Source organism: Homo sapiens, chromosome X, assembly GCF_000001405.40.
Source record: "Homo sapiens chromosome X, GRCh38.p14 Primary Assembly".
Lineage (NCBI taxonomy): Eukaryota > Metazoa > Chordata > Mammalia > Primates > Hominidae > Homo > Homo sapiens.
Genome location: NC_000023.11, coordinates 37759538 through 37783754, shown reverse-complemented (window position 1 = coordinate 37783754; position 24217 = coordinate 37759538). Strand labels below are relative to the sequence as shown.

Sequence of the window (24217 nt, the reverse complement as noted above, 5' to 3'; positions counted from 1 at the left end):
TAGCACAGAAATATACTAGATAATGGCTTGGCTCATGAGTATTCTACAGAAGCTGGAATCCTCCCAAATCATTCATTTGTTTTTACCTAAAAAAGGGCATTTTGCTTGATGGCCTTTGAAAATTAGAGGAACTTAGTAAAACATTTTCTCTTACCGCACTGGAACCCCTGAGGAAGGACAGCAGATTTCGACAGACTGGCAAGAGAATCAGCATGCAGTTGAAATTCAGGCAGGCTGCAGGGGCCCTGGCCAGTGCCAGTGCTGACTAGAAGAGGCGGGAAAGGGAGCAGAGTGACTTTTTTGAGCACAGAATATGCCCTGTCCCCACTTCCCCAAGGTTCTTAGCATGAGGCCACACACCAGAGACACCAAGTGATCTGTACAGGAAGGTCCTTCAGAGCCAACGGTTTTCCTTTAGGGCTAGCTAGGACCCTTTGTTTTCATCTGAAATTGACCTTTTGCCCTAATTCAACATTTTATTATTAAAATGTTCAAACATAAAGACAAGTTGAAGGAAATTTACAATAAATACCTGTTTATTCATCTCCCAGATTATACCTTTTATGCTTGCTTTATCACATTCTATCTATCCATTCCTGTATCCATCCATCAACTCATCTAATTTTTGATGCATTTCAAAGTAAGTTACAGACAACAGTTCACTTTCTCTTTAACACTTAAGGTGCATATCATTAACTAGAGTTAAGTATCAAGACTTTTAAAGATTTTAAATATTTTCTTAGCACTTAAATTGATCTTAACAGTATCTTAAATTGGTATGGTATAATGCTTTGGCATTATAATTATTATATTTGTAATGTCTAAAGAAGTTGCATATTTTGGCGGGAGAAAGCATCAATGTGAATAAGCTAACAACAATTATAATGATCTAGCATAATTATATGCTAAAATTATTTATTTATGATTTATAATACTTATAATAATTAATATTAAGCAATTAATTCATAGTTTCAGCATGATGTAACAGATGTCTTCTGGAGGCAAGAGGCCTGACAGTTCAAGGAAACTCAGAATACTAAAGGACCCAAGGAAACTGAAGGGCCTTCACTCTACTGTCCTAGTCAACAGATGTGGCCCTTGAGCAAGTTCCTCGAGTCTTTATATGTAGAGAGAGATTTATTTTCTGAAGATCATTTCATAACATGTGATTAGGAGCAGAGCTCTTCATGCAAAAAAGTACTAGGAATTAGGTGACTTAGAAAATATGGAAAGTCCCACTTGTCCCACATGTGTCACTCCTGGATGGATTGCTCCAACCTGCCCTTCCATTTCAGAGTGAGTATTAGATTTCTCCTTTAAGCTAAACAATGGCACATGGTTCTTGGTTGGGGAAGGATGCCACTGGGGCCCTCTGCCCCACTTTTGTTGGTCCCAGACTGGAAGGCTTTAAGTGACTGTTGCCCAGGAAGTTGCAATGGAGGGAGTGAGGCTAATGGTACTGTTTGGGTTGGTCAGAATATGTATTTAAAATGCTAACAGGAAGATGAACAAGAATGTCTGATGAGAAATGTGAACCAGCCAATATTGCATGGGATGGAATTTATACTTACCCCAAGAAGTTTTCTTGTGTAAAAGAACTTAGGTGGAATATCATAAACCCGGTAATACCAGACAAAGAGGAAGACGTTCAACCCCAGCCAAACCAGCTGCACAAACAGAAATAATTGCATGAAGTTTCCGCATTTCCACAGTAGATTCCACACAAGACTGGAGTCAGATAAGGGTCAGGACTTCCCCAAGTCCAACTTTGACAAAGGTAGTGACAAAGCTGGATATAACCAGCTTAGAGCCAGCTCTTTCCTCAACAGTGTCACTACACTTGTCTATAATTAAAACCTCTCCACCCTGTGTTGTTCCCCATGATTGTTTTATGATTTGGCCAGTATACCAAATTATCAGTCTTACATTACCCCACTCCCTTTTTTTCCCCTCTCTTTTGCTTAACCTTGGATAGGTAGCTGATAGCAGGCCACTCCACTTAAAATGAGAAAGGAAGGGAACATATTACTATTGCTTTCCCTCCACCAGTATGACACTGCGTTCTGTTCTCACAGGTGCTAATCACCTCCCTCTACCACACAGTAATCCAGCTAGTGAATTCTCATCAGCTAAAATGCCAAGCCTTCCATTTTCCTTGATTAGTTTTACTTAATGCTTCAAGGAGAGAATATTGAGCATAGTGAGGGGCTTGGGATTTACAACAAAAACAGCTTTCTAGATCATGACAGTTCATTTTATCCTAAGCACTGACTGGATCAAGTGGTCACACTACCCAGTTCTCTACCTTCAGCTCCATAGTGATCTTTTCTCAACTATGCTTTGAAGCTATTATATGCTCTAGACACTTGATAATATTCTCTCTTTACAAAGAAAAAAGTGCTAAAGCAACTTCCCAATTTCCTGATCTTGTCATTCTTTCTTTACTCTGACTTTCCAAGCTGTGTTTTCACTTTCAAGTGCATGAGTATATAATTTAGAAGGAGGTCATTTCCTGGGAAAAATTGTGGCGAGAGCTAAAAGTTTAATTTGAACTTACTTTCTATAGAAATTATTTGCCCTTAAAAATGGTGATAAGAAGTTAAGTTTACAGCTTCGAATACTCGGAAGAATTCTCTGTTGCAGTAGAATGTTGGTTTGGCGTAAACATTTTTTATAACAAAATATTTGTTGTTTTTATTTGTGCCACTAATTGCTTTCTATATTTAAAACTCAAAGACTCATTATTTTTCATGATAAATTTTTACAAAAGCTCCATTCATATTCCATTCATAATTGTACTTTTTAACATCTGTGTAATGCTTCTATTGGTTATTTAGAAAGGCTATTTAAAAATCGTATTTCTATCTACCCAATTTGTCCATTATTGCTTTGCTGATAACACCATTTTAAGAGAACAGTTGATTTTCTTTGTTTTAAAAAGTACAGAAATCATTCTGTCCACTTGTAAATTAGCTATATCTTTACTTACATAGTTTCTCCAGACTATATTGATTTATATATATATACAATTATATATAAATATACATACTACATATTTATGAATCTAGATGACTTATTTCAATTCTGTTCTTTTGAATTTTTATAAATCTTATAAATAACTCAAGTTTAGATCTCTGAAAAAAGAAGGTACTTGTTTTTGAAAATAAATTTGAGAAGTTTTATTATATTTAGTGTAATTACTGAAATAAAGGCCTACTTCCCATACATGAGTCAATCTTATATTTTTTATTTAGAAAATGGTATAAAATTTCAATTTGTCATTTTTAAAGTAGTATAAACACATAGACATGTGCGTCTGAGTAAACATTACTAAACAACTCAGAATCAGAGATCATTAGCATGAAATATTTTCTACTCCTTCTGCGAAATGCTGGCTAATTTATTCCTCCTAGGAATTCAGAAGTAAGCTAGAAGTGAGCCCCCAGATATGTTCTTTCCATTAAGGAATTTGGAAGAATGGACTCAGTCTGTTTACAGATAGATATAGGTTCACATGGTAAATCAGTTTCAACACAATTCCTCAAATGAACAAAAAAGCTTTGGTCTATTTTAGTTCCAAGATAACCCCGAGAAGTCAGAGAATTTATAACTTATCTCTTGTTGGTACTTACAATGACAAAAATGGAGAGCCCCTCATTCACAGCCCAGTTCCCCATGGTGGCAGAGGTTGAATGTGTTGTGTTTGCCTTTCTTCTATACTATGCTTCTTCTTCCAATGAGGAAATGAAAACAGCAGCCCTGGGGCAATCGGTTTCCTTTTCTTTTATCAGAAATTGGCTAATAATCATTGGTCAACTGAAAAGCTTGCATCCATAACAAACTTAAATCTTTAAACCTCAACAACTACAAAAAAAGGGTCTATAATGATCCAGTCACAATTAAACATAGTGGAAAATGAAACCAATTTCTACAACTAAGAGATAAATAACAGTGCATTTTAAGGGATGTATTTTACACAGTGAAATAACTTTTTAACTAACCAGCTATTTGATCACAATTTTTAAGCCACTCAACTAGACATGACTTCGTGCTGGGTAAAACACATTAAACAGGTGTGATTTTGACAGGCTGGAACAGCATTCATAGCCTTGCTGAGAAAAGTAGTAACAATTGTAATGGTTGATATTTACAAAATGCTTAATATGTGCCAATTTTATGTGCTATATATGTCTATATATGTGTGTGTGTATGTTCATGTATAGCTATCATATATATATATATATATATATATATATATATATATATAATTTGAAACATACATATATAAATACAGATGCTTTGGCCAATGATGAACCACATGTATGACAGTGGTCCCATAAGATTATAATGGTGTTGGCCAGGCACGGTGGCTCACGCCTGTAATCCCAGCACTTTGAGAGGCTGAGTGGGGTGGATCACTTGAGGTCAGGAGTTTGGGACCAATCTGGCCAACATGGTGAAACCCCGTCTCTACTAAAAATACAAAAATTAGCTGGGCATGGTGGTGGGCACCTGTAGTCCCAGCTACTCAGGAGGCTGAGGCAGGAGAATCACTTGAACCTGGGAGTCAGGTTGCAGTGAGCCGAGATTGTGTCATTGCACCCCAGCCTGGGCGACAGAGCAAGACTCCATCTCTCTCTCTCTCTCTCTCTCTCTCTCTCTCTATATATATATATATATATATACATATATATATAATATATAATATAATATATAATATATATACTTGTGTGTGTGTGCTGAAAAATTCCTACCATCTAGTGACATTGTAGCATAACACATTACTCATGTGTTTGTGGCAATGCTGGTGTAAACAAACCTACTGAGCTGCCAGTTGTAAAAGTATAGCACATACAATTATGTACATTACATAGTACTTGATAGTAAAAATAGATGACTATGTTACTGGTTCATTTATTTACTAGACTATACTTTTAATCATTATTTTAGAGTATACTCCTACTTATAAAAAAGTTAACTGTAAAAGAATCTCAGGCAGGTCCTTCAGAAGGTATTCCAGAAGAATGCATTGCTGTCATAGATGACAGCTTCATGCATGTTAGTGCCCTTGAAGACTGTCCAGTGGGGCAAAATGTGGAGGTGGAAGACAGTGATATTAATGATCCTGACTTTGTGTGGGCCTAGGCTAATGTGTATGTTTGTGTCTTAGCTTTTAACAAAAATGTTTTAAAGGTAAAATATAAAAATAAAAAATTTAAAAACAGAATAAAGCTTCTAGATATGGATATTAAAACATTTTTGTACAGCTGTAAAATTTTTTTTGTTTTAAGCTTAGGGTTATTACAAAAGAGTCAAGAAATTAAAAAAGCAAAAGTTTATAAATAAAAAGTTACAGTAAGCTAAATTTATTTCATTATTGAAAAAACAAAATGTTTTGCATATTTAGTATAGCCTAAGTGTACAGTGTTCATAAAATCTATAGGAGTGTACAAAAATGTTCTAGGCCTTCCTATCCATTCACCACTCACTCACTGACACATAGAGTAACTTCTAGTTCTCCAAGCTCTACTCATGGTAAGTGCCTTATACAGGTGTACCATTTTTAATCTTTTATACTTTATTTTTATTGTCTATTTTCTATGGTTAACTATGGTTAGATACCATTGTGTTAGAATCTCTGACAGTATTCAGTACAATAAAAAACGATAAGGTTTGTAGCCTAGCAGCCATAGGCTATACCATGTAGCCTAGGCGTGTAGTAGACTATACCATCAGGTTTATGTAAATACACTCTATGATTTTCACACAACAACAAAATCACCTAAGGATACATTTCTCAGAACAAATCCCCCATAGTTAAGTGATATGACTGCATATATGTGTGTATTACACATATAGACACACATGCAAACACACACACATCAATTCATTTGATCCTCACAACTCAACCACTGTAAAGCAGATTCTATTATTATGATTATATTTACAGATAAGGAAACTGAGTTCCAGAGCAGTTCAGTTACTTGGCCAAGTTCACATAACTAGCAAATAGTAGAGTTGGGATTTAAAACCCAAGAAATTTGGTTATACTTTTGACCAAGATACTAGAAAAAAGCCTTACTATGCCTACACTAAAAACCCTACATTAAATCACTCCACATACAACTATAGGAAAACATGACAAAATACAAGAAATATACCAAAATGTTTAGATGGCAATCATGTTTCCAGGCAAACATGACATCCTATATGCTAAGTGAGTAAACAGGGTCAGCACAAAGATATGTCAGATATGGTAGATGCCAAAAGCTAAATGTAGCATCATTTCCCTTGTTGGTACCCACTCTTCAAGACATGAAAGAGACAGGAAGGTAGGATAGTAACCCCATTATGAGATCAATATTGACTAATTGCACAAGGGTAGTTGTACAGCAGTTATAGCTAATATGGAGGTAAAAAAAAAAGAAATGGGAGGAGTGAAAGGGAACAAAAGAAGGAAAAAAAAGACATAAGTACTCTTTTGATTGTTGTCCATGAACTACTTGGGAAGCTTCTGTAATTACGATAATTAGCAAAGTAGTAGTGTTTTTCACTTCTTAATATTCAAGGAAAGGTACTTTTTAGAATGCTATGGCTCTTAGACCATGTGTAAACCACATAAAGAGAAGTTAGTCTCGTGGTTCTGTTCCACACAGAGATGAATTCAAAGAAACACACTTAGACAATTAAAACATGTGCCAATTATTTGCCTCTTGCTCTCAGGTCTATTCCCCACTTTCCTTGCTCTACTGTGTTTCAGAGAAAATTGTATTGCCAGGCTCCTTGGCCCTCTGGCTTCTAGTATGTTTAGCTGAATTGGAGAATGGATAGCAGGAGATAAGCCATAGTGTTTCTTCCCTGAGCTTTCTGCTTTAAGTGGCATCCATGAAGGGGCTGCATCTGCACTGAGGCTCCAACTTTCACCAGTCAGCCTCTCCCCCTGTGGCATGAGCTAGTCCTAGCCATCACCACTGTAGCTCAAGATTCTGCCAGGTGGCCCTGGCTTCTGAACTCAAGTTACACCACCACCTCCTAGTTTCCCTCTAACCCCTAGGGTGGTAACCACTTCCTGTAGTTGTTCATCTTTATATTATGTTGCCTCTGCACCCCATGTTGGGATTCTCTACTTTTCCATAATCCATGTAACAAATTTCCTGGTATGAAATTCCCCCTGTTGAAATACAGTGGTTTCTGTTTTTTGACTGAAACAAAAAAGTTACTCATATCTGTACTTATTTTTTTCATGTATTCAAAGAAGTGAGGCCTTTATACCCAAAGAAAAATAAAACATATTTAAAAATCCACTTTCTCTCCTCATCTCTGCCACTCTCAAACTCCTCTACAAAGATGACTGCTTCACCATAAGCTCTTGGAACTCATCAGTCTTTTCCTCTGTACTTATCCCCACTGTTCTCTTTCTCTGCCTATTGGATCATCTTCCTTTATCCCACTTAAATTTTCAAGCCTTTCTCATACTTTTCCACCTGCCTCCTGAAGCCTGTGCTCTGCTGGGGAGGCAATGACAAAGGGATCATTAATCTGCATATACCAGGAAATAACATTCCCAGTTTCACATAAACTTATTTCTTGAACATTTTCCCACTCCCTTTCCTTCCCTCCATAATTTGAGAAGAAAATTCAAAAAAGAAAGAATCTTTTCCCTGAGTAATCAACCATTCCATTCTACTGATTTCCCCTCCCCCCCGCCTTTATAAAAGTAATCACAGGGCTATGAGTAGCAATTTCTTGAGAACCTTAAGCACCTCAATCAGTTTTACAGTGGGAGAGAGAGAGATCAGTTGCAATGAAGAGTAAAGTCTTTCTTTTACAGAAAGTTACTAACTTCCCTTTTGAGAACACTGGCTAAGTAAAATGTAATGTGCACTGCTCTTAGAAAGGCAGGCAGAAAGTTTGATGAAAGAGTAACAGGTATTAGTTGAAAGGCATTGACTAGACATGGAGATGAAGAAAACTGAACCTGTATGCATTAGCTAACAGTTTATCTTCTCCCACCCTCATTGGCTTTCATTCTCTCCTAAGCTGTTAGTAGCAAACTAGACTGTGGTGAACATAAGGAAGTACTCACCATACCCATTATGCAGTAATGTCCAATATCCTCACACTTGTGATTGAAATCCCAAACATCTCTGGTTGAGAAAAAAATGAGAGAAGAGAAGTAGACCCAAATCCAGAAAATTCCCTGATTTTGCAGTCTAAGATTTATTCTTGAAAGCTTAAATTAAAAATTATATTCCTCTGCAATAATCAAGTAGTCTATAGAGTTTAATCACCATTATTCTAGTTAATTAATTTGGCACTGTGAGAAACTGATATTAGATATGACACATATTTTCCCAATTTTTGCCTAATTATATCCAAGTTGATATAAAGAAAAGATTAATTTAAAAAAAAACTCTATTTAAAGCATTGCCTTGTTTATTCTTTCACTGTGGATTGTAAAGCACAAATCTTTTTAGATTTTAGATTGATGCCTGGACTATCACATAGTCACAGGACATGTTTAGCAATTGATATGACCATGATGATGATGGTGATTGATTAAGAATTGTTAGAGAAAATGCAAACTTGCAAACACTGCTAGCTAAATCGAGGACTTTCTAGGGAACGCCCTAGAGGGAAGATTTGTTCACAGAGTTACGTGTACTATATTTGAAAAGTTTAACAGGAATATATAATAATATGTTCTTTTCTATTATTAGTTATTGATAACAGAATTTACATTGTGAGCAGGTTGAAAGTGGTAACAATCTGAGGTAACCTTCATATTACCATAATCAATAACATCATTCTTGTCTTTGAAAATATATGCATAATAAATGTATTACTTAAAATATTTTCAGGTTATTAAAATGTAGCTTCATACCTGAGAAATGATTATTTTTTCTATAAGCTTTTTACATTATGCGTAACACTTTCATGTATATATGTTATTTTATCTTTATGACTGCCCAGTGATTGCCCAGTGGTCCACATTTTTTTTTATTATACTTTAAGTTTTAGGGTACATGTGCACAACGTGCAGGTTAGTTACATATGTATACATGTGCCATGTTGGTGTGCTGCACCCATTAACTCGTCATTTGACATTAGGTATATCTCCTAATGCTATCCCTCCCCACTCCCCCCACCCCACAACAGTCCCCAGAGTGTGATGTTCCCCTTCCTGTGTCCATGTGTTCTCATTGTTCAATTCCCACCTATGAGTGAGAACATGCGGTGTTTGGTTTTTTGTCCTTGCGATAGTTTGCTGAGAATGATGGTTTCCAGCTTCATCCACGTCCCTACAAAGGACACGAACTCATCCTTTTTTATAGCTGCATAGTATTCCATGGTGTATATGTGCCACATTTTCTTAATCCAGTCTATCATTGCTGGACATTTGGGTTGGTTCCAAGTCTTTGCTATTGTGAATAGTGCCGCAATAAACATACGTGTGCATGTGTCTTTATAGCAGCATGATTTATAAACCTCTGGTTATATATCCAGTAATGGGATTGCTGGGTCAAATAGTATTTCTAGTTCTAGATCCCTGAGGAATCGCCACACTGACTTCCACAATGGTTGAACTAGTTTCCAGTCCCACCAACAGTGTAAAAGTGTTCCTATTTCTCCACATCCTCTCCAGCACCCGTTGTTTCCTGACTTTTTAATGATCACCATTCTAACTGGTGTGAGATGGTATCTCATTGTCATTTTGATTTGATTTTCTCTGATGCCCAGTGATGATGGGCATTTTTTCATGTGTCTTTTGGCTGCATAAATGTCTTCTTTCGAGAAGTATCTGTTCATATCCTTTGCCCACTTGTTGATGGGGTTGTTTGCTTTTTTTCTTGTAAATTTGTTTGAGTTCTTTGTAGATTCTGGATATTAGCCCTCTGTCAGATGAGTAGATTGCAAAAATTTTCTCCCATTCTGTAGGTTGCCTGTTCACTCTGATGGTAGTTTCTTTTGCTGTGCAGAAGCTCTTTAGTTTAATTAGATCCCATTTGTCAATTTTGGCTTTTGTTGCCATTGCTTTTGGTGTTTTAGACATGAAGTCCTTGCTCATGCCTATGTCCTGAATGGTATTGCCTGGGTTTTCTTCTAGGGTTTTTATGGTTTTAGGTCTAACATTTAAGTCTTTAATCCATCTTGAATTAATTTTTGTATAAGGTGTAAGGAAGGGATCCAGTTTCAGCTTTCTACATATTGCTAGCCAGTTTTCCCAGCACCATTTATTAAATAGGGAATTGTTTCCCCATTTCTTGTTTTTGTCAGGTTTGTCAAAGATCAGATGGTTGTAGATATGCAGTATTATTTCTGAGGGCTCTGTTCTGTGCCATTGGTCTATATCTCTGTTTTGGTACCAGTACCATGCTGTTTTGGTTATTGTACCCTTGTAGTATAGTATGAAATCAGGCAGCGTGATGCCTCCAGCTTTGTTCTTTTGGCTTAGGATTGACTTGGCAATGCGGGCTCTTTTTTGGTTCCATATGAACTTTAAAGTAGTTTTTTCCAATTCTGTGAAGAAAGTCATTGGTAGCTTGATGGGGATGGCATTGAATCTATAAATTACCTTGGGCAGTATGGCCATTTTCACGATATTGATTCTTCCTATCCATGAGAATTGAATGTTCTTCCATTTGTTTGTATCCTCTTTTATTTCATTGAGCCATGGTTTGTAGTTCTCCTTGAAGAAGTCCTTCACATCCCTTGTAAGTTAGATTCCTAGGTATTTTATTCTCTTTGAAGCAACTGTGAATGGGAGTTCACTCATGATTTGGCTCTCTGTTTGTCTTTTATTGGTGTATAAGAATGTTTGTGATTTTTGTACATTGATTTTGTATCCTGAGACTTTGCTGAAGTTGCTTATCAGCTTAAGGAGATTTCGGGCTGAGAAGATGGGGTTTTCTAGATATACAATCATGTCATCTGCAAACAGGGACAATTTGACTTCCTCTTTTCCTAATTGAATACCCTTTATTTCCTTCTCCTGCCTGATTGCCCTGGCCAGAACTTCCAACACTATGTTGAATAGGAGTGGTGAGAGAGGGCATCCCTGTCTTGTGCCTGTTTTCAAAGGGAATGCTTCCAGTTTTTGCCCATTCAGTATGATATTGGCTGTGGGTTTGTCATAGATAGCTCTTATTATTTTGAGATAAATCTCATCAATACCTAATTTATTGAGAGTTTTTAGCATGAAGGGTTGTTGAATTTTGTCAAAGGCCTTTTCTGCATCTGTTGAGATAATCATATGGTTTTTGTCGTTGGTTCTGTTTATATGCTGGATTACATTTATTGATTTGTATATGTTGAACCAGCCTTGCATCCCAGGGATGAAGCCCACTTGATCATGGTGGATAAGCTTTTTGATGTGCTGCTGGATTCGGTTTGTCAGTATTTTATTGAGGATTTTTGCATCAATGTTCATCAGGGATATTGGTCTAAAATTCTCTTTTTTGGTTGTGTCTCTGCCAGGCTTTGGTGTCAGGATGATGCTGGCCTCATAAAATGAGTTAGGGAGGATTCCCTCTTTTTCTATTAATTGGAATAGTTTCAGAAGGAATGGTACCAGCTCCTCCTTGTACCTCTGGTAGAATTTGACTGTGAATCTATCTGGTCCTGGACTTTTTTTGGTTGGTAAGCTATTAATTATTGCCTCAATTTCAGAGCCTGTTATTGGTCTATTCAGAGATTCAACTTCTTCCTGGTTTAGTCTTGGGAGGGTGTATGTGTCGAAGAATTTATCCATTTCCTCTAGATTTTCTAGTTTATTTGCATAGAGGTGTTTATAGTATTCTCTGATGGTAGTTTGTATTTCTGTGGGATCGGTGATAATATCCCCTTTATCATTTTTTATTGCATCTATTTGATTCTTCTCTCTTTTCTTCTTTATTAGTCTTGCTAGCAGTCTATCAATTTTGTTGATCTTTTCAAAAAACTAGCTCCTGGATTCATTGATTTTTTGAAGTGTTTTTTTGTGTCTCTATTTCCTTCAGTTCTGCTCTGATCTTAGTTATTTCTTGCCTTCTGCTAGCTTTTGAATGTGTTTGCTCTTGCTTCTCTAGTTCTTTTAATTGTGATGTTAGGGTGTCAATTTTAGATCTTTCCTGCTTTCTCCTGTGGGCATTTAGTGCTATAAATTTCCCTCTACACACTGCTTTGAATGTGTCCAAGAGATTCTGGTATGTTGTGTCTTTGTTCTCTTTGGTTTCAAAGAACATCTTTATTTCTGCCTTCATTTCGTTATGTACCCAGTAGTCATTCAGGAGCAGGTTGTTCAGTTTCCATGTGGTTGAGTGGTTTTCAGTGAGTTTCTTAATCCTGAGTTCTAGTTTGATTGCACTGTGGTCTGAGAGACAGTTTGTTATAATTTCTGTTCTTTTACATTTGCTGAGGAGTGCTTTACTTCCAACTATGTGGTCAATTTTGGCATAGGTGTGGTGTGGTGCTGAAAAGAATGTCTATTCTGTTGATTTGGGGTGGAGAGTTCTGTAGATGTCTATTAGGTCTGCTTGGTGCAGAGCTGAGTTCAATTCCTGGATATCCTTGTTAACTTTCTGTCTCGTTGATCTGTCTAATGTTGACAGTGGGGTGTTAAAGTCTCCCATTATTATTGTGTGGGAGTCTAAGTGTCTTTCTAGGTCTCTAAGGACTTGCTTTATGAATCTGGGTGCTCCTGTATTGGATGCATATACATTTAGGATAGTTAGCTCTTCTTGTTGAATTGATCCCTTTACTATCATGTAATGCCCTTCTTTGTCTCTTTTGATCTTTGTAGGTTTAAAGTCTGTTTTATCAGAGACTAGGATTGCAACCCCTGCCCTTTTCTGTTTTCCATTTGCTTGGTAGATCTTCCTCCATACCTTTATTTTGAGCCTATGTGTGTATCCGCAAGTGAGATGGGTTCCCTGAATACAGCACACTGATGGGTCTTGACTCTTTATCTAATTTGCCAGTCTGTGGCTTTGAATTGGAGCATTTAGCCCATTTACATTTAAGGTTAATATTGTTATGTGTGAATTTGATCCTGTCATTATGATGTTAGCTGGTTATTTTGTTTGTTAGTTGATGCGGTTTCTTCCTAGCCTTGATGGTCTTTACAATTTGGCATGTTTTTGCAGTGGCTGGTACCATTTGTTCCTTTCCATGTTTAGTGCTTCCTTCAGGAGCTCTTTTAGGGCAGGCCCGGTGGTGACAAAGTTTCTCAGCATTTGCTTGTCTGTAAAGTATTTTATTTCTCCTTCACTTATGAAGCTTAGTTTGGCTGGATATGAAATTCTGGGTTGAAAATTCTTTTCTTTAAGAATGTTGAATATTGGCCCCCACTCTCTTCTGGCTTGTAGAGTTTCTGCTGAGAGATCCGCTGTTAGTCTGATGGGCTTCCCTTTGTGGGTAACCCGACCTTTCTCTCTGGCTACCCTTAACGTTTTTTCCTTCATTTCAACTTTGGTGAATCTGACAGTTATGTATCTTGGAGTTGCTCTTCTCGAGGAGTATCTTTGTGGGGTTCTCTGTATTTCCTGAATCTGAATGTTGGCCTGCCTTGCTACATTGGGGAAGTTCTCCTGGATGATATCCTGCAGAGTGTTTTCCAACTTGGTTCCATTCTCCCCGTCACTTTCAGGTACACCAATCAGACGTAGATTTGGTCTTTTCACATAGTCCCATATTTCTTGGAGGCTTTGTTCATTTCTTTTTATTCTTTTTTCTCTAAACTTCCCTTCTCGCTTCATTTCATTCACTTCATCTTCCATCACTGATACCCTTTCTTCCAGTTGATCGCATCGGCTCCTGAGGCTTCTGCATTCTTCACTTAGTTCTCGAGCCTTGGTTTTCAGCTCCATCAGGTCCTTTAAGGACTTCTCTGCATTGGTTATTCTAGTTAGCCATTCGTCTAATTTTTTTTCAAGGTTTTTAACTTCTTTGCCATGGGTTCGAACGTCCTCCTTTAGCTTGGAGTAGTTTGATCGTCTGAAGCCTTCTTCTCTCAACTCGTCAAAGTCATTCTCCATCCAGCTTTGTTCCATTGCTGGTGAGGAGCTGCATCCCTTTGGAGGGGGAGAGGCGCTCTGATTTTTAGAGTTTCCAGTTTTTCTGCTCTGTTTTTTCCCCATCTTTGTGGTTTTATCTACCTTTGGTCTTTGATGATGGTGACGTACAGATGGGGTTTTGGTGTGGATGTCCTTTCTGTTTGTTAGTTTTCCTTCTAACAGTCAGGACCCTCAGCTGCAGGTCTGTTGGAGTTTGTTGGAGGTCCCCTCCAGACCCTGTTTGCCTGGGTACCAGCAGCGGAGGCTGCAGAACAATGGATATTGGTGAGCAGCAAATGTTGCTGCCTGTTTGTTCCTCTGGAAGTTTTGTCCCAGAGGAGTAGCCGGCCGTGTGAGGTGTCAGTCTGCCCCTGCTGGGGGGTGCCTCCCAGTTAGGCTACTTGTGGGACAGGGACCAACTTGAGGAGGCAGTCTGCCCATTCTCAGATCTCAAATTCCATGCTGGGAGAACCACTACTCCTTCAAAGCTGTCAGACAGGGACATTTAAGTCTGCAGAGGATACTGCTGCCTTTTGTTTGGCCATGCCCTGCCCCCAGTGGTGGAGTCTACAGAGGCAGGCAGGCCTCCTTGAGCTGAGGTGGGCTCCACCCAGTTCAAGCTTCCTGGCCACTTTGTTTACCTACTCAAGCCTGGGCAATGGCGTGCGCCCCTCCCCCAGCCTCACTGCCGCCTTGCAGTTTGATCTCAGAGTGCTGTGCTAGCAATGAACCAGGCTCTGTGGGCATAGGACCCTCTGAGCCAGGTGCGGGATATAATCTCCTTGTGTGCCATTTGCTAAGACCGTTGGAAAAGCGCAGTATTAGGGCGGGAGTGACCCGATTTTCCAGGTGCCGTCTGTCACCCCTTTCTTTAACTAGGAAAGGGAATTCCCTGACCCCTTGTGCTTCCTGGGTGAGGCGATGCCTCGCTCTGCTTCGGCTCACGCTCGGTGCACTGCACCCACTGTCCTGCACCCACTTTCCGACACTCCCCAGTGAGATGAACCCGGTACCTTGGTTGGAAATGCAGAAATCATCCGTCTTCTGCATCGCTCACGCTGGGAGCTGTAGACTGGAGCTGTTCCTATTCGGCCATCTTGGCTCCACCCCAGTGGTCCACATTTTACTTAGGAAACTAAGTTTCAGAAAAGCTTGGTTGCTTTCTTGAGATTATAGCCAGTTAGTGAGAGAATGTGCTCTGGACCTTTTTACTTCAAATCAAATATAATTTTTTATTATAAACCTCAATATTATGCTTTCCATAGTAGGTTAAAACTCATAGTCAAAAAATTTCTGAAATGGAATAATACAGTAGTTGTAGACTGTCACAATAATAAAAATAAATTTCAACCACAAAATTATGTTCCTAATTACGTCAAGGTGCATGTATGAAATTGCTGATGAAAGAGAGATGTGTTACTATGCCAAGGTTCTTAATGAGTTTTATTCCTTGTGCTAATGAAAAATGGATTTCTGTTCCCTTTATCTCTGCCATGTATCCTATTCTTTCCAGAACCATCATGCTCCCACTCTATATCCTTCTATGATTTGTGTAGCCCCACATTCCTTGCCTAAGGATGGCTACTGCAATGACTTCATTCCTCTGGACTCAGTGTTTGTCCCAGGGGTGGGCATTTAACCCAAGGAAGACCAATTAGTTTTTTGCATGGTGGGGTGGAGTTTTAGGAACTTTGGAGAAGAGAAAGTCAAGCTTTTCTCTCTTTGTGAATGATGTATGCCTGATGCTGCCATAGGCCATTTGGACCACCTTGTGCTAAATAGCTACATAAAAATTATGTCAACACAAACAAAATCATAATCAGTATTTAGGGAAGGATAGAGAAGTCTGGAGACAGATGTGATTACAGTGTTTGAATTATTGAGTCTGATCTGCCTGAGATACTTGGACCTCTCAATTATTCTTTTAGATTGGGTTTCCTGGGAAGCAGATTCTGAGATGGAGTTTAGTGTGCAGGAGTTTCATTAGGGAGTGTTCTTAGAGGTAAATAGCTGTAAAAGGCAATGAAAAATAAGAAAGCAGAAGTGGGCAGAAGGAGCAGTTGAGTTATCATGTGGTCACAATAAGGCCTCAGCAATCCCACGAGGAGATCTGAAGCTGGGATGACCTTGAGTGATCTTGGGCAAGATCTTGGACCTGGTTGCCACATCACTGTATTTAACCTGGCTACAGAAGCCATAAATTCCCACCACTGCCACTTTCTGCTTAAGGAAAACAGTTCCAGTTGTATTTCTACTGCTTATATCAAGAAGGGTTCTCAGTAAATCATGGTATAAAGAAACTCACTTTTATTTCATCACCAGAATCTCAAGAGTTAATAAAAGTTGAAGAAGTTTGCTGGAATGGGATCCAAATGTTCTATCTCTTGTTTGGGAGAGAAAATAACAAAGTAGAAGAAGAGGTATTCGGGGAAGAAGGGTTAGTGTACTGATCTAGGCAATTAAAGGCATTAAGAATGTGGCTTTTACTGGCATTTCACTTAATAGAAAATGAAAATGTCTGGCGATGAAGATTTACATTTTACCCCTTTATGTTAAATATGACTTGTATACATTAATTCATCAGAATAAAGGAAAAATGAGGAAATCTCTAGTTATTGATTTGAACTAAAACTTTTCAGTATGCATCCTGTATTATATTGGCTTATTTCCTTGAAAAATCTTTTTTTACAAACAACTTGGTCTTATTAACAACAGCTGACATTTACAAAGCATTTTATACACACCACATGTCTTATGTGCTTTGTCTCATTTATTTTTCACAACCACCTTATGAGGTATGTAAAATTATCATATCCATTTGTAGTTGGATAAATATTACCCCCAACCAAAGATGTCTAGGTACTAATCTCTAGAACCTGTGGATATGTTACCTTATACGGTTAAAGGGACTTTGCAGGTGTAATTAAATTAAGGCTATTGAGAAAGAAAGTTTTTCATGGATTATCTGGGTGGGCCCAATGTAATTACAGGATCCTTATCCTGTAATCCCAGCTACTTGGGAGGCTGAGGCAAGAGAATTGCTTGAACCCAGGAGGCAGCAGTTTCAGTGAGCCGAGATCGCGCCATTGCACTCCATCCTGGGTGGCAAGATCAAAACTCTGTCTCGAAAAAAAAAAAAAGAAAAAAAAAAAGAAAGAAAGAAAAAGAAAAAAGAAAATAGAAAAAAATAATCATATGGAGAGAGAGAGAATGACAACGTAAATGTGACAAAATGTTAATAGTTGATGAATCTGGATCAGGAGTACCTTGGATTTCTTTGTAATACCTTTATCTTCTGCATGAAATTATTTTAAAAGAAAATGGTTTGTAAAATCTAACACCTCAGAAGCTATCTTCAGTGTGTGCACATTTCTCTGGGAATTGGGGAATTAGTTTTGAGGAGAGGCTGCTCTTCTAGTAGGGCAGACACTTTGATGGACTTTTTGGGAATTGAAAGGCACTGCCTGGTCTAGGGGTTAGAGGTTGAGTCAGAGAAGAGTTAAACTGCTCAGTACAGTAAAATGAAAGGGTGATGTTCTTGGGTGGAGAAACTTACAGTGTTACCTGATGTGAGGCTTGCTCTGGAGTTTGTGGAAGAGAATGTCATGGTGGATAGAAGTGGTTCTCACAGAGATTAGGAATAGGTCACGGAATAAAACAGAATATCTGTCCCAAGAAATGATATGGCCGATAAGGGGCTTTCCTGTTCATGATGATGATCATGGAAAAAAGGGATACACGATAATTATTGCTGGTTTTCCTTTTCCTGTTTTATAGTCCCTTTCTGTTGTTTATATCTTCATAAAGCTAATTAACAAGCACAACACAACATCAACCTTGAATTAATGGTCATCTTGTGGGATAAGGCAGAAGCTAGTCCTAAATTGAAGTAGATTAGCTTCCTATCAACAACATTTACAGGCTTCTATTTAAAAACAAAATGAAACCAGATCCTTGTGGTGTGCACATGTCTTCCTAATCCCAGCCAAGCTCTTTCTTCCCTATCACAGCCTCAGCCATTTTGAGGCATCTCACTCCCTCACCTCAACCCACAACATCTGCTTCCCCTCATTTCTCTCCAGTAAGACCTTACTGAGGTTGCTGTCAACTTCCTATTGGTAAACCAGGGGTTATTCATCAGCCTGTTTTATAGTGGACATAAAAAAGTAAAGCAGATAATGAATATTTATTATACTTTAATATGAGATTATTCATTTGTGGCCATTTGGGAGATTTACAGAATTGCTTTCTGAGACTGAGTATCTCAGTAATTAAAGAATCCTAAGAAAGTCAATCAGCAAGACTGCAAATGAATCACAAGATTTTACTTTCTCATGGATGTGCAAAGACATCTGCACACTCTGAACTTGAAACTATAAGCATAAAGTGTGAATACTGCCCTCAGTTCAAGGAAATGAAGGTATTCAGACTCAAATCATATTTGTATATAATTCTGAGACTACACCCATTTTCCTTGCTAAACTTTCCTGGCCTAAATGGATTAAATAAATATTTTGAACACAGGCAAACATTTTGGTGGAAGTGAAATCATAATTTTTTTAAAAAATTGATGACTATGGAGTAATTTAAAATTTTCTATTTGCTTTTGAAATTTAAATATCTATATCTATATATAATTGGATAAATATCAGTCCTGTAAGTGTGGTTCAGTTTTAAAAGTGCTGATTGGATTTAAAAATGAAACATGCCTGGCCAGATGTGGTGGCTCATGCCTGTAATCCCAGCACTTCGGCACGCTGAGGCTGGGGGATTGCTTGAGTCCAGGAGTTCGAGATCAGTCTGGGTAACACAGTGAGACCCCGTCTCTTCAAAATAAATAAATAAATAAATAATAAAAAATAAAAAAATTAGCTGTGTATGGTAGTGTGTGCCTGTAATCCCAGCTACTCAGGAGGCTGACGTGGGAGGACTGCTTGAGCCCAAGAGTTTGAGGCTGCAGTGAGCAGTGATCATGCCACTGCACTCCAGACTGGGTGACAGAGACCCTGTCTCAAAAGAAAAAAGAAAAAAGAAGAAAAGAAAAAGAAAGAAAAGAAACATGCCCATCAAATTGGTGAAGGGTCCATGGATTTATGATACACATTTGACTATAGATCCCAAAACTCTCATGAAACAGCTAGCAATATGTCCCAATTATGAGCAATGCTTGGGTCTCAGGTGAATATATACAATTACTATGTTGATGAAATAGCTGAAATCAAAGAGGCATCATGAGCAATGCAACCCTAGAGTCAAAATGAGATTCCCTCTGGCTGTCTCCACTTCACATCTCCCCAGAATAGTTTAGTTTGTTAAATACCAGCATAGCAGGCATTGTCTTGACTATTCCAAATGTTTTATCATCTCCCTTCTTTTCTGTTGTCCTCAATATAAAGGATGAAAAACAAATAATAGCTCTTCCAAACTTCCTTGAAAGTAGCCTTCAATAATCTTCCAAAGGAGGGTAAAGCATTGTTGGGAAAGGTTTTCGTTTTATTAAAAAATAATAATAATAATGAAGTCAAGATGATGTCAGCAAAAAAGACAATGTAATTTGTCCCTTTCTCCTCACACCCATTTGTTGAAGACCTAATCCTCTGTGTCACTGTAATTGGAGACAGGATCTTTAAGGAGGTAATTAAGTTTAAATGAGGTCATAAAGGTGGAGTCCTAATCCAATAATCCTAATTTTTTGTTGTTTAAGCCACCAAGTCTCTGGTACTCTGTTATGGCAGCCTGAGCTGCCTAATAGTCATACAGGTGGAGTAAGGAAATCTAGGGGCCTGTATATCCCCAGAACCATTGAAAAATCTGTGAAAAAAGCAATCAGGATGAAACTTCTCAGGACCCTGGAAGATAATGAAAGGTTTACAGCAACTAAGTGAATGCTCAACCAGGAGAAAGCACAACATGATAGCTTTGTGGCATTTTACTTTTGTTCCACCCCACTCCTTCTCAGTGGGACAGTGATCTTCAGACAGAATTCTTCATTCTGATTGTGGGCACCTGGTTCTGAAGGGAGAAGAGCAGATATTGTTTCAACAGAGCAGAAAGTGTTTCAGCAGAGCAGAATAGTGTTTGTCTGTTTTGATCTGTTTGGGGGTTCCCTGAAGAACTGACACAAGGTGCTTAATTTTGTTTTACCTAATTTGGAGCTTTCTCAGGGTAGAGAAGTGGTTATGTGAAGTTCCTTCCTCAAAACTTTGAAAAGCAAGCCACTATCATCTAGGGCAATAAATAAATAAATAAAAACATTTGGAACAAACAAAGGACACAATAAAACTCTGGCAGGAAAATCTTTGGTGTGAGATTCCTTGGGTGAATAAGGGCTTTGAAAAGCTTCCATGTAGACTAGGAAAACTAAAGCCCACACACATGTCCTGGGCAAGATACATACTTGGAAAATAGCTAAGAAGAACTTAAACTTCTACCTCTGGCTGATTTCTAGGCTCAGAGAAAGCAGGAAGTGAGGGTAAAGGCAGAAGTATTGTCTTTATTGAATTTCTCTGTTTTATTTCTTTACTGTTTAAATTTTTTTAATTTGTGAATTAGCTTCATTTTAGGTACCACTTTAAAAGTTATATGTAGGAAATGTATGTATAATATACTAGCAGGTATCTAAGAAAATTGGTTTAATCAAATCTTTATTTTTCTGACTGTGCCTTGTTTTATATATTTGCTTGGAAACAATAAAATATTTTATATACTTGTAGAAAACCTAATTTATATTCAAAGAGCAATCTTTAAAATTCAAAGCGAAATTAATGAACTTAACTATGTAACAAAACTCACTTTGAATAGAAAACCAAAAGATTTTCATGAGATTTTCATAAAGACCTTGCCATCAAGTACATTTTCTTTTGTTTTTGTCACAATAAAAGAAAGGACAAAACTGAGAGTGATATCCAGAGTCTTACTTTCTTCTAAATGTCATGAAGAGGCAGATCTAGCTATTCCTCTAATATTAGCTCAGATATTGAGAAAATATAGTCATAATTGTATCTCTTTGTTTCTAAATCAAGAGATAAATGGTGCTAGTGCTTTTGGTGCAAAGTTGCTAAAGGATTTAGGAGCCAAAGACAATCAGTCAAAGAAGGAATAGCCAAGAAAATTTAACTTAATTTTATAGTACTCAAGGAAAAGTCATGGGTGGAAACTGTTAGGTCAAGCTCTGAGGGAGAACAATGAAAGATTAATGAAAAAAATATATGCCTTATTTCTCTCAGTGTTAGTGACTACATCTTTCTCAAAATTATATATCCTCTTCAATGCAGCATACTTTACTTTTATTTAAATTACTTAAATGAAGAGCTTTAATATTATAGAAAAAGCATAACTGAATGTGAAAGTCAGCTACACTCCTTTCAACTGAGTTAATCCATTAGTGGAAGTCTAGCTGCATAAACCAGGCACCACATCCAGGTGGTGGCATCAACAGCCACTTCATGTCTCCCATATCCACTGGTGGCACCTTCATGGATTTCTCAGCATGTTGCTTGTTTTAAGCAGGGCATTTAGTTGCAAACAACAGAAGCCAACTTTTGATTAACTCTGTCAAAACATAACTTATCAAAAAGCTACACAATGTCTTGATAGATTGACAGGAAGGTTGGAGAAACAGAAGGGGAAACAAGGCAAGAATAAAGGGAAGCCAAGGTGATGCCAAAGGAAAACATCTGGATCAGTGGCATCTACCACCAGCACTGGCAGTAGAATGGGATTCTAAACTCTCCTACTTCTCATCAATATATAAAGTCCTGGAAGCATCTCATTATGTTTCTGCTTTTGCTCCATCTGCCAAGAATCAAAGAGAATAAATATTTCAGCTTTTCGTCTTCTGTCACAGTGGTGGATTCTTCAAGCACAAGAAGGAGCTTTATAGGATGGGCAGCTAAGGATTGGGTAATTTCTATCACAGCACCAGTGAGGAAAGTAAATGCTAGAGTTTTGGTCACACCCACACACATAATGCCTTTTCCAGTTAAGACAGTCTGTAGAAAGAATGCTGCAGAAATTTGTGCATCCATGAGACACAGATGCATAGGAAATCAAATTTTTATATTCTGTTTCCAGAGATTCTACTACCTTTACCTATCTCCTCTCAGCTTTCTAATCCCTCAGGCAGTACATCTGCCCCTCTGAGAGAGGTTGAAAGGTGAGTGGGTTTCATCAATAAAATATAAATGGTATAGACAATGGTACATACACTAGTACATGTTTAATAACTGCATCTCTGGATTTAGAGAGGCAGCCCTGATTTGTAGAATTTGCCCATTTCTGTGGTGTAAATACTTCCACCATGGCAGATTTCAAAGATGGTTATATTTAATATCCAGTTTACAAAATTTCTGAAAGTTTAGCAATTAGCTTTCATGACCAAGTATGCAATGGCTTTGGCATAACACTGAGTGGATAAGAGTGACATAAGGCCTAGCAGTTAAGAGGAAAAATAAACTTGCTAAAAGTATGTGTGAAAAGAAAAAGAAAAAATGGCCACTGTATTTCTAATATATATTTATCAATTTGGAAAAGAGAAAAGAGAGACAAGTAGGAAATTAGAGAGTCACAGTTTCAAGGCCCATCAACTGATAAGTTATAGGAAATGATGAACATAAATGTAGCCTAAAATAAGTGAGGTGAGAGAACTCCATGAAAACAAGCAGAGAAAATAATTGATCTACTGTTTTGGGTTAGAGAACTTATTTAAAGAGGCTTGAGAAAAAAGAGCACCTGGAACAAATCTTGAGGGTTAGATATATTTATCATTCATTGCTACAAAAATGTTGCATAGAAACTACTGCAGATCATCGTGGCTTAAAATATTAATCATGCATTATTGTTCTTGGGTCCATGAGTTGTCTAGGTAGTTCTCTTGGTCTTCACCAGGGTCACTTATATATCTGCACTCATCTTTGGGTTGGATAGGTGGCTCTGTTGATCTTGGCTGAACTCATTCATATGTTTGAAAGGCATCTGGTTCTTAGCTGGTTTAGGATGGCTTCAGTTTTTCTTCATTGGTTCCTCTTATCCTTCCAGAAAGCTAACCCAGACTTACTCTCATGATGAGTTAAAGATGCAACAGTGAGTGAGCCAAATCTTACAAAAGAGCAAGAGGAAATATATATGAGCTTTTCTTTTCTTTTCTTTCTTTTTCTTTTTCTTTTTTTTTTTGAGACAGAGTCTCGCTGTGTTGCCCAGGCTGGAGTATAGTGGCAAGATTTTGGCTCACTACAACCTCTGCCTCCCAGGCTCAAGCGATACTCATGCCTCAGCCTCCTGAGTAGCTGGGATTACAGATGTGAGCCACCACACCTGCCTAATTTTTATATTTTTAGTAGAAACAGAGTTTCAGTATGTTGGCCAGGCTGGTCCCAAACTCCTGGCCTCATGTGATCTGCCCACATTAGTCTCCCCAAGTGCGGGGATTACAGGTGTGAGCTTTTCAAACCTCTTCTTGCATCACATTTGCTAACATTTGATTGGCCAAAGCAAGTCACTTGGCCAATGACTCAGAGTGAGATGGTATCACAAAGCTGCAGCCGTAAAGTGTGGCTAGAGAAAAGCCATTACTTGATTTTATTACTACAATCAATCTACCATTCTAGGTATTATGGAAACAGTGGTAACCATGACAAACATGGTTTTCTCATTCTTCATGGAACTCATAGCCTAGTGGATGGTGCAGAAGTGTTCACAGGCAATTAATACACAGTGTAGTTAGTGGTGTAACATGAGAAGTTTATATTGTATTGGTTCCATATTTAGCAACCCATGACATCTTGTTTACACATTGCTTTCAATAGTATTCAAATCATCCTGTGTCTGAAGTTAAAAATGGCCTGGTCCAGTCCATTTTAATTCGGTCTACTAGAAGATTTATATGGCCCATGAAGTGTTTTAGTTTCTGGGGAGGGACAAAAAAGACAAAGATAAATAAGAGGCATTTCCTGCCCTCCGTGAAGTCAAGGTCTATCAGGAAATAAATTTTAGTCTTTATTTTCTTGGAGTTTGTGAAGTCCCCATTCCTCATTTCTTCTCTATAGTTTATGAAAGCTAGACCAGGAAAGGAATGGGGAAACATTCTTACCAAAGTGTTATTGAGACAATTATCCATAGCTCAATGTGCTATTTGGCAATGAACCAAGAAAATCTCCCTTACTAATTTGGGAATGGAACCTATGTCC

The 24217-nt window shown here is 37.9% G+C and overlaps 1 protein-coding gene across 2 annotated transcripts in view, besides 2 other annotated features; it reads right to left on the bottom strand.

The window, feature by feature from the left end:
- The window catches only part of CYBB (cytochrome b-245 beta chain), a 33403-nt gene extending 29707 nt beyond the window's left edge, over nucleotides 1-3696 (bottom strand). Inside the window, exons 1-3 of one of the 2 annotated variants that reach the window (NM_000397.4) lie at nucleotides 3633-3696; nucleotides 1572-1667; nucleotides 155-265 (exon numbers count right to left, since the gene is read on the bottom strand). In NM_000397.4, the coding sequence (NP_000388.2) occupies nucleotides 155-265; nucleotides 1572-1667; nucleotides 3633-3677 (252 nt within the window). In that variant the 5' untranslated portion in view covers nucleotides 3678-3696. Of the gene's footprint in view, nucleotides 1-154; nucleotides 275-1571; nucleotides 1668-3632 lie in introns of those variants that run through there. The other variant, XM_047441855.1, reaches the window with a different exon arrangement.
- Nucleotides 3605-3654: an enhancer, noted in NCBI's record as "active region_29519". NCBI's record gives its function as "activates an Ori minimal core promoter by ATAC-STARR-seq in GM12878 lymphoblastoid cells {active_cell/tissue: GM12878}" and the evidence as "EXISTENCE:reporter gene assay evidence [ECO:0000049][PMID:35858748]".
- Nucleotides 20163-20212: a silencer, noted in NCBI's record as "silent region_20732". NCBI's record gives its function as "represses an Ori minimal core promoter by ATAC-STARR-seq in GM12878 lymphoblastoid cells {active_cell/tissue: GM12878}" and the evidence as "EXISTENCE:reporter gene assay evidence [ECO:0000049][PMID:35858748]".